This window comes from Homo sapiens, chromosome 3 (genome assembly GCF_000001405.40).
Source record: "Homo sapiens chromosome 3, GRCh38.p14 Primary Assembly".
Classification (NCBI taxonomy): Eukaryota; Metazoa; Chordata; class Mammalia; order Primates; family Hominidae; genus Homo; species Homo sapiens.
This window is the reverse complement of record NC_000003.12, coordinates 14,057,241-14,066,719: the sequence shown is the minus strand read 5'-3', so window position 1 is coordinate 14,066,719 and position 9,479 is coordinate 14,057,241. Positions and strand designations below refer to the sequence as shown.

Sequence of the window (9,479 nt, the reverse complement as noted above, 5' to 3'; positions counted from 1 at the left end):
AGGTACCTGTTCCTGTCTGTGTAATCTAGGCATTTATGACAGTGTCTGGCACAATGTGTAGTTGGTCAAAATATTGAATAATCAAATACTTAATAAGGTTTGTTCAGATTTTAGGGAAGCAAACTAAAAGATATCCAAATGTTTCTAAGTTTTCTAGGCTCATTGATGAAGGAAAATAGACAGGAATTTGAAGTTGAAAATACTAAATTGTTCTTAGATTATGTTCCTGGACATTTCCTGTCCTGTGTTTATTCAGAACACTGAAAGAAGACTGTTGATTATGCCAAATGAAAAGCAAATAGTCCATTTGGGGTGGTGAGGCTGCTGGAGAGCTGGTGATGTTCTGCTTGTTGATGTGAATGCTGTTTACAGAGATGTGTCCTGTGTTTACAGAGACTGTAAAAACAGTGAACTATACATGAATGAGGTAGACTTTTCTGCATATATATCTCAATGTTCTTAAAGCAAATATTACAAATCCAAAATTTATTTTTCCTATAAAATTTAAATTTGATATTACTTTAAACTGTCTTTCTCTTCAATGAGAATCAAGTTAGTAAGGATCTCAGAAGTCATAAGGTCTACCTCTGTCCTGACAGACGCTTACATACATGCACAGGGTAGGTTGAATAGTAGTACCCTTGCAATGCAAGAGAGAAGCTGGAAGGCACAGTTCATTAGTGATAGAAAATCATACTTTGCAATCACCATAGTAATAAATGATTAGGGCAAGTATTTTTGGGGGGTGTTTGCAGCACTTTAATTATCAAGAGAATATAAAAATACATTCAAATAAATGAAGAAAAATGGGCAAACAAATGGACACATATGAGGATTTCTAAGGTTCAATTAACATGTGAGAACTTCTCAACCTCTCAGTCATCAGGGAAGCCATAAGCCATTGGATCCACAAACATTAAAAAGTCTCACAATCCTAAGTGTCAGGGAGAATGCTGACTATCAGAAGTGCTGAGTAAAGCTCTTTACAAAGCTCTCAAGTAGCATCCACTAATGCCAAACATCCCCATGAGCAGCGACTCCAATCCCAGCTGCGAAATGCTCAGGCTCAACTCAAATGAGGGCAGGTGCATTCATAGCAGAGCTAGTCGTGATGGCCACACAGTGAAGACAGCAAATGCCCACCAGCGGCAGGGTGGTTAAATGGTGGTGGTGCATTCACCAGCAGTGTAGACCAACCAGCCACTCCAGGTCCACTGGTATCCGCAGGACTTTGCAGACACAGGCCCCCTATAAATCCATTAATCACTTGGGGCCCGAGTCTTTTTGTCCATAGAGCCATCCCCCTCTTGGTACTGAGATGTCGTGGTGGAGACCAAGGATTCCTCGAACTGGTCTAGGGGTGGGAGGAGCTCTGTGAAGTCAGGGAATGACTGTCTGGCAAGAAATTGGAGGCATAAGTGCTCTGAGGTCACAAGGGGACTAGGGCTGGGGCTGGGAGGGATCCTAAGTTTGGGATTGGGCCAGGACCTGGGATTGGGGCTAGGACTAAGCCTGGGCCTGGGAGTAAGCCTGGCTTGGAATCAGGCCAGGGCCTAGGATTGAGCCTGGACCTGGGATTGGGCCTTGGCTTTTGAGTGGGCCTGGAATGGGGCTGGGATTGGGCCAGGGGCTAGACCTAGGACAGCCAAACGCCCTCCTGGCTCTGCACCCAAAGCTACTCAAGGCCTGGTGGAGGCTGCAGATTGTGGGAGAATACCCACGGGGCCTCTCCCTGTGGGAGAATTCCCAAGAGGCCAGGCTGATGGGGGGCAGAGGCCGCAGCTTCAGGGAAAGGGGGCACAGTGCGAGCTCTGTGGGCTCTGTGGCCTCCTGCCCAGGGCTGCACTGGGGCAGCTGCTGCTGGGGCTGCTGCTGCTGGGACTGCTGCTGCTGGGACTGCTGGTGCTGGAGCTGCTGCTGCTGGGGCTGCTGCTACGGGGGCTGGGGCTGCTGCTGCTGCTACTGGGGCTGCTGCTGCTACTACTGGGGCTGCTGTTGCTGCTACTGGGGCTGCTGCCGCTGCTACTGGGGCTGCTGCTGCTGGGACTGCTGCTGCTGGAGCTGCTGCTGCTAGAGCTGCTACTGGGGCTGCTGGAGCTGCTACTGGGGCTGCTGCTGCTGCTGCTGGAGCTGCTACTGGGGCTGCTGGAGCTGCTACTGGGGCTGCTGCTGCTGCTGCTGGAGCTACTGCTGGGGCTGCTGCTGCTGGAGCTGCTACTGGAGTTGCTGCTGCTGGGGCTGCTGCTGCTGCTGCTAGAGCTGCTACTGGGGCTGCTGGTGGAGCTGCTGCTGCTGGGGCTGCTGCTGCTGTGGCTGCTGCTGGGGCTGCTGCTGCTGGGGCTGCTGCTGGGGCTGCTGCTGCTGGAGCTGCTGCTGGGGATGCTGCTGCTGAGGATGCTGCTGCTGAGGATGCTTCTGGAGCTGCTGGAGCTGCTTCTGGAACCACCGCTCCCGAGAGCGTTTGGCCCGGCGATTCTTGAACCACACCTGCACTTGGTACTCCCTGAGATTGAGCATCTCCGCCAGCTCTTGTCGTGTGTCATAGTCTGGGTACTGTTCCTCCTTAAAGTGATTTTCTAGCACTTCCTGCTGTTTCCAGTTGTAGATTGTGCGGTCCTGCCGCTGTCTCTTTGGAAGGCCTGGGGACAGTGGAAGGCCTTGGGGATGCCTAGGGTCTTGCATCCTGGGTCCTGCTCTGTTCTTGAACATAATTAGGGCAAATATTACCAAGCTGAAACTACTGACTAGAAGTTTATTGGTAAACAGGATATTGACATTGTCTCAACTTTTCTTCCCACACATTTATTCATTACAAAGGGAAAAGATGCCTTACAGTATACCACAAAGTGATCAGAGTTAACATCACCAATAAAACAGACATTATGTGCTCCCTAATGTGATACACTAGTATGGGATACGACTTCATCTACATAATATTCCCGCCAGACATACATATCCTGAACCTAATCATATGAAAAGAGAAAAACCAAAATCAAGGGACATTCTACAAACAATTCCACAACTGCTTTCCTCTTAAAAAATGTCAGTATTGGCTGGGTGTGGTGGTTCATGCCTGTAATCTCCACACTTTGGGAGGCCAAGGTGTGCAAATCAGTTGAGGCCAGGAGTTTGAGACTAGTCTGGGGAACATAGTGAAACTCTGTCTCTCCAGAAAAATAAAATAACATTAGCGAGGTGTGGTGCCACATACCTGTAGTCCCAGCTACTTGGGAGGCAGAGGAAGAAGGATTGTTTGAGCCCAGGTGGTCGAAGTTACAGTGAGCTATGATCACACCACTGCACTACTATACTCCAGCCTGGGCAACAGGGCAAGACTCTGTCTGCAAAATAAATAAATAAATAAATAAATAAATAAATAAATAAAAATTAAAATAAATGGCAGTATCAAGAAAAACAAAAACAAAGGCTGAGGAATTGTTTCAGATAAAAAGAGACTAAAGAGATGATTAAATACAATGTGGGGTTCTGAATTAGATCCCAGATTGAAGGAAAAAATTTACAAGCAACATTATTTGGACAACTGGCTAAATCTGTATATAAAATGTATATCATGTAATATTAATGTTAATATCCTGAAATTGATAATTATATTGCGATTATGTAAGAAAATAATCCTTGTTTTGTTCTTAAAGGATCGAAAGCTTTTTTTTCTTTTTCTTGAGTCAGTTTCACTCCATCACCCAGGCTGGAGTGCAGTGGTATGATCTCAGCTCACTGCAACCTCCACCTCCTGGGTTCAAGCGATTCTCATGCCTTAGCCTCCTGAGTAGTTGGGACTACAGGTGCATGCCACCATGCCTGGCCTGGCTAAATTTGTATTTTTAGTAGAGATGGGGTTTTCCATGTTGGCCAGGCTGGTCTCGAACTCCTGACCTCAAGTGATCCACCTGCTTCGGCCTCCCAAAGTGCTGAGATTACATGCGTGAGCCACCGCACCCAGCCAGATCTGAAGTATTTAGGGGTAAAGCATCACTGTATCTGCAAATTATTCTCAAATAGCTCAACAAAAAATTAAAAGTAAATAAATAACATCAAATAATATGTAGAAGTCTAAACCAGATGTGGCAAAATGTCAATACTTGGCAAATGTAAGTGAAGGACATACAAGTATGTATTATTCTTGAAACTTCCCTATAGGTTAGAAATTTTTCAAAATAAAAAGATAAATGAGATATAGAAGAAGACAATATCTTACAAGTAACAGTCTATACTTTCCCCAAATACCTCCAGTCTTAAGAAACTTACTGTATCTTTCAAGGCAACCCAAGCCATTATTACAATACACTGGACCCAAAGACAAACGCCCTGCTACTCCGTCACCTGGGCCATCAAGTGGCCCTGGTTCTGCCACAAATAAAATCATCCCTCCTCCCAAATAACAGCTCCTTAGGTACTTGAGTATGATTTCATTGTGCCTGGCTATTTCTTTGTTTTTGGGGTCAAACATTTCCTGTCTCTTTGTACATTACCCTGTGACATGGTTTCTGGTCTACCTATGGTCTTGGTGAGTTGCTCAATGCACTTCCTGTAGTCTGCCAATAACCCATTTAACACTATCCACAAATGATATTATATGTGGATAAGGTGATCTCATTAGAGCAGAATCACACAATTAAGTCTCTACTTCTATTTCCCAGGCTAGGACCACATCAACTGACAAATCATATTACTTCTAAAGTCAATTAGACCTTCGTCCTTGTGCAGTTTGGATTTTGGAAGTGCCTTAGAGCATGTCTTGATGATTGTCCTTATTAAATGTCAACTTGTCAGGTTAACCTTTCATTCCAGTCTGTCAAGAAAACTTCAGTTCTGAGTTCTCATCGTGTTACAATTAAAATGATGGGACATGGTCAAAGACAGTACCTCATCCTCCCAATTAAATCACAAATTATTAAAGGGCAGAAACCACAGCTAATATGTTCTACATGTCCCCACATTCCATAAAACAGTGCCTAATGGAAGACGTTATATGTTGATTTGCTTGTTCACTGATAAGGAGGGTTCACTTTAAATGCAGAAGCAAGTTGAGACACTGACCTAAAAGATGCCTGACAAGTAGACATTGTTTTGTAACTACAGAATAAGTGAGAATATTTTAGTTCTCAAGGCCAATTGGAAAGTAATAAAGAGCAGCATCTTGGTTTTCATTTAGATAAATTAAAATTAAGAAATCAAAATCCTTTAAATACAAAATTATATTGCCTTTCTCTGAATTTCAAAGGAAAGAAACAAAGGGTATGTATGAAATTGCAACTCTAATTCAATATCTTTACTCATAGTATAGAAATTAAAAATCTTTTTTCAACATTAGGAATACTACTGAAAAATAATTATAGCAAAGCCCTGGCCGTAAAAGATTCTATTGCATGAGAGTTTCTAAATGTAAGCATCCAAACATTTTTCTTTTAAACAACTTTAGAGAAATTCCTGAGTTATTGCAGACTCATGGCTTCTTAAATCCAATTTAGTCTTTGACATCTGTAACAATGAAGCTGATCCATCAAGAAATTACTGCTTCCTGTTATACTACAATGAAGTCCTCGAGAAAATGGAGCCAGCCAGGGCTGTCCTACCCAACACCAAATAACTCCCATAACTGCCCCTCTTATAGTTTCTCTGTCCTGCCCTTCCATATTCCTTATCATGCTTCATCAGCCTATCAGCCATTTTCCTTCATGTCTCTAATTTTCTACTTTTAATTTTGTTGAGTATTTGGAAAACTTTTTTTTTTTGGAGACAGGGTCTTGCTCTGTTGCCTGGGCTGGAGTACAGTAGCATGACCATGGCTCACTGCAGCCTCAAACTTCTAGGCTCAAATGATCCTCCTGCCTCAGTCTCCTGAGTAGCTGGGACTACAGACACATCACCACACCCAGCTAATTTAAAAATATTTAAAAATTTTTTTGTAGAAGTAAGTGTTTTGCCATGTTGCCTAGGCTAGTCTCAAACTCCTGGCCTCAAGCAAGCTTCACTCCTTGGCCTCCTAAAATGCTGGGGTTACAGGTGGGAGCCACCATGCCTAGCCTGAAAAATATTTTTTTATTTTTCTGAGACAGAGTCTCACTCTGTCACCTAGGCTGGAGTGCAGTGGCGCGATCTCAGCTCACTGCAACCTCCACCTCCCGGGTTTAAGCAATTCTCCTGCCTCAGCCTCCTGAGTAGCTGGAATTACAGACACCTGCCACCATGCCCGGCTAATTTTTGTATTTTTGGTAGAGACAGGGTTTCACCACGTTGACCAGGTTGGTCTTGAACTCCTGACCTCAAGTGATCTCCCACCTCGGCCTCCCAAAGTGCTGTGATTACAGGTGTGAGCCACTGTGCCCGGCCTGAAAAACAGATTTTTAAAACTTGCCATAATCTTGTATAAATTAAGAGCTCAAAAGCTTTAAGTAAAAAAACTGTCATATAGAGAGCTGTCTCACTAATCAGTGATCCCAAATGACATTATCATTAGTGCATTGGCTGGCTGTCCTCTATTTTGGTATCTCAGATGGCATTTTTAGTCATATTTTGAATGTTGGTTATAATGAAAGTAAATGCTATTTATATTAAGATCCATATTTATCTTAAAGCATGCTTTGATTTCTTCAGTGTGAGTAATTTATTTTGCTGTCTACTCCCATTAACAGTAGTATGAGCATTATATTCTAAGAGAAGCATTCCCAACTTCTAAAACACAGAGAAACTATTTTTAGCTATTGTTAAGCTAAGACTTATTGCATTTAAGCCTTTTTGCAAATTATTAATTTTTTATTTTATTTTATTATTATACTTTAAGTTTTAGGGTACACATGCACAACGTGCAGGTTTGTTACATATGTATACATGTGCCATGTTGGTGTGCTGCACCCATTAACTCATCATTTAGCATTAGGTATACCTCCTAATGCTATCCCTCAAATTATTACTACCATCTCCACAACAGGAAAAAATACCATGTAAGAATCTTTATATCACATCTCTTGACTTGTATCCAGAATATATAAAGAACTTTTACAACTCAACAATAAAAAGACAACCCAATCAGAAATATGCAAAGATGGCTGGGCACGATGGCTCATGCCTGTAATCCCAGCACTTTGGGAGGCCGAGGAGGGTAGATCACTTGAGGTTGGGAGTTCAAGATCAGACTGACCAACATGGTGAAACTCCATCTCTACTAAAAGTACAAAATTAGCTGGGTGTAGTGGTATATGCCTGTAATCCCAGCTACTTGGGAGGCTGAGGCATGAGGATCATTTGAACCCAGGAGGCAGAGGTTGCACTGAGCTGATATAGTGCCACTGCACTCCCGCCTGGGTGACAGAGTGAGACTCTGTCTCAAAAAATTAAATTAAATTTAAAAAATTAAAAATGAGCAAAGACAACAATAAACAATCCCAAAAGGAAACAAAAACAATTATCTTTACAACTGCATCAAAAAGAATGAAATGCTTAGGAATAAACTTAACCACAAAGGCAAAAGACTTGTGCACAAAAGACTTTCTACACAAAACACTGCTGACAGAAAACATAAATAAATGAGAAAACATCCTGTGATCGTAAATAGACTTAATATTGTTATGAACAGAACACTACTTAAAGCAATTTACAGATTTGATGCAATCCCTATCAAATCCCAATGACTTTTTTAATGTATTTCTATTTTTTTCTTTTTTTAAAAAAATAGGTGATGGATTCATTTCATTCATTCATTCATTCATTTTTTTGAGATGGTGTCTCACTCTGTCACCCAGGCTGGAGTGCAATGGCATGATCTTGGCTCACTGCAACCTCCGGCTCCCGGGTTCAAGTGATTCTCCTGCCCCAGCCTCCCAAGTAGCTAGGATTACAGGCATGCACCACCACGCCCAGCTAATTTTTTGTATCTTTAGTAGAGAGGGGGTTTCACCATGTTGGCCAGGCTGGTCTGGAACTCCTGACCTCGTGATCCGACCACCTCAGCCTCCCAAAGTGCTGGGATTACAGGCGTGAGTGAATGAGCCCAGCCCCAGTGACATTTTTTTTTTTTTTTTTAACAGAATCATAAAATCTGAGTGGATCATCATGGTGGACGGCAGGCAGGACTAGATTGCAGCTCTGACTCAGACAAAGCAGTGTGCGGAGGCTCGCACTGTGAATTTTAGATCCCGAACAACTGCAAAAACAAACCAGGAATCCTGAGAGGACCCACAGACCCTCTGGAGGAAGTGGATTGCTCTTGCAGGACCCAGGAGACACTCCAAACACTATGAGTGCCCAAACTGAAGAAGTGGGAAAGGGAGATCCTCTGCTCCCAAACACACACCCCCACTGGGGAAACTGAAGGTCTAGTTTGTGGGAGAAGTTTCCGACATTACCTAGAGCTGAGTCAATTTAGAGAGGTGAGTGAAATACAGGGGTAGAGGAAGCAGCGGGAAAGGCTCTGGGAGCTTGTAGGGTCCCCAAGCAGGGCATTCCTGCCTGGCACCACAGGGATCCTTCAGGAGGGCGGCCAGAGGTGTGGGGAAAATGCCACAGGGAGAAGAAAAATCTCCAACTGAACTTTGTAACAATTTGAACTGGGCGAGAAGCCTCCTGGCCAGAACTTGGGGGAGAGTGTGAACTCAGCATGCAGACTCCATAGGTGGGGAGAAAAACCAAAGCTCTTTTCTTTCCCAGCTGGGAGGTGGGTAGCCTGAGGCACGTGCTCAAGCCCTACTCAGCCACTGCCTGGAAACAGACTTGGTGCTGTTAGGAGGGGACACGGTGGGAATGAGACCAGCCCTTCAGATTACGTGGGAGCTGTGTGAGGCCTGTGACTGCTGGCTTTCCCCCAACTTCCCTGACAACCTACATGACTCAGCAGAGGCTGCCATAATTCTCCTAGGTACACAACTCCAGTGACCTGAGAACCTCACTCCCATCCCGCACAGCAGCCACAGCAAGACCCACCCAAAGAGAGTCTGAGCTCAGACACACCTAGCCCTGCCCCCACCTGACAGGCCTTCCCTACCCACCCTGGTAGCTGAAGACAAAGGGCATATTCTCATGGGAGGTCTAGGGCCGCACCCACTGCTGGTTTTCTCCATACTACCACAGCTGATGGTCTCTGGAAAGCACCACCTCCCGGCAGGAGGCCAACCAGCACAAAAATAGGACATTAACCACCAAAGCTAAGAACTCTCACAGAGTCCATTTCATCCCCTGCCACCTCCACCAGAACAGGTGCTGGTATCCATGGCTGACAGACCCACAGACGGTTCACATCACAGGACTCTGTGCAGACAACCCCTAGTATGAGACCAGAGCCTAGTAGACTTGCTGGGTGGCTAGACCCAGAAGAGCTTGGCTCTCAGGAAGCCACATCCCTAGGAAAAGGGGGAAGAGTACTACATCAAGAGAACACCCCATGGGACAAAAGAATCTGAACAACAGCCTTCAGCCCTAGACCTTTCCTCTGACAGAGCCTACCCAAATGAGAAGGAACAAGAAAA

At 44.4% G+C, this 9,479-nt stretch overlaps 1 pseudogene across 1 annotated transcript in view, besides 4 other annotated features; it reads right to left on the bottom strand.

The window, feature by feature from the left end:
• Positions 1-735: 735 nt before the first annotated feature.
• Positions 736-9,479, bottom strand: part of TPRXL (tetrapeptide repeat homeobox like (pseudogene)) — a 128,678-nt pseudogene continuing 119,934 nt past the window's right edge. The window contains exons 2-3 of the transcript NR_002223.3: positions 3,212-3,341; positions 736-2,695 (exon numbers count right to left, since the gene is read on the bottom strand). The product of NR_002223.3 is annotated as a tetrapeptide repeat homeobox like (pseudogene) (transcript). The remainder of the gene's footprint in view (positions 2,696-3,211; positions 3,342-9,479) is intronic.
• Positions 1,381-1,953: an enhancer, noted in NCBI's record as "H3K4me1 hESC enhancer chr3:14106267-14106839 (GRCh37/hg19 assembly coordinates)". NCBI's record gives its function as "activates a minimal SCP1, AML or CMV promoter by ChIP-STARR-seq in primed H9 embryonic stem cells {active_cell/tissue: H9 hESC(primed)}" and the evidence as "EXISTENCE:reporter gene assay evidence [ECO:0000049][PMID:30033119]".
• Positions 8,216-9,415: an enhancer, noted in NCBI's record as "P300/CBP strongly-dependent group 1 enhancer chr3:14098805-14100004 (GRCh37/hg19 assembly coordinates)". NCBI's record gives its function as "activates an origin of replication core promoter dependent on BRD2, BRD4, P300/CBP, MED14 and CDK7 cofactors, with strong dependence on P300/CBP, by STARR-seq in HCT116 cells {active_cell/tissue: HCT116}" and the evidence as "EXISTENCE:reporter gene assay evidence [ECO:0000049][PMID:35650434]".
• Positions 8,327-8,827: an enhancer, noted in NCBI's record as "H3K4me1 hESC enhancer chr3:14099393-14099893 (GRCh37/hg19 assembly coordinates)". NCBI's record gives its function as "activates a minimal SCP1, AML or CMV promoter by ChIP-STARR-seq in naive and primed H9 embryonic stem cells {active_cell/tissue: H9 hESC(naive and primed)}" and the evidence as "EXISTENCE:reporter gene assay evidence [ECO:0000049][PMID:30033119]".
• Positions 8,828-9,328: an enhancer, noted in NCBI's record as "H3K4me1 hESC enhancer chr3:14098892-14099392 (GRCh37/hg19 assembly coordinates)". NCBI's record gives its function as "activates a minimal SCP1, AML or CMV promoter by ChIP-STARR-seq in naive H9 embryonic stem cells {active_cell/tissue: H9 hESC(naive)}" and the evidence as "EXISTENCE:reporter gene assay evidence [ECO:0000049][PMID:30033119]".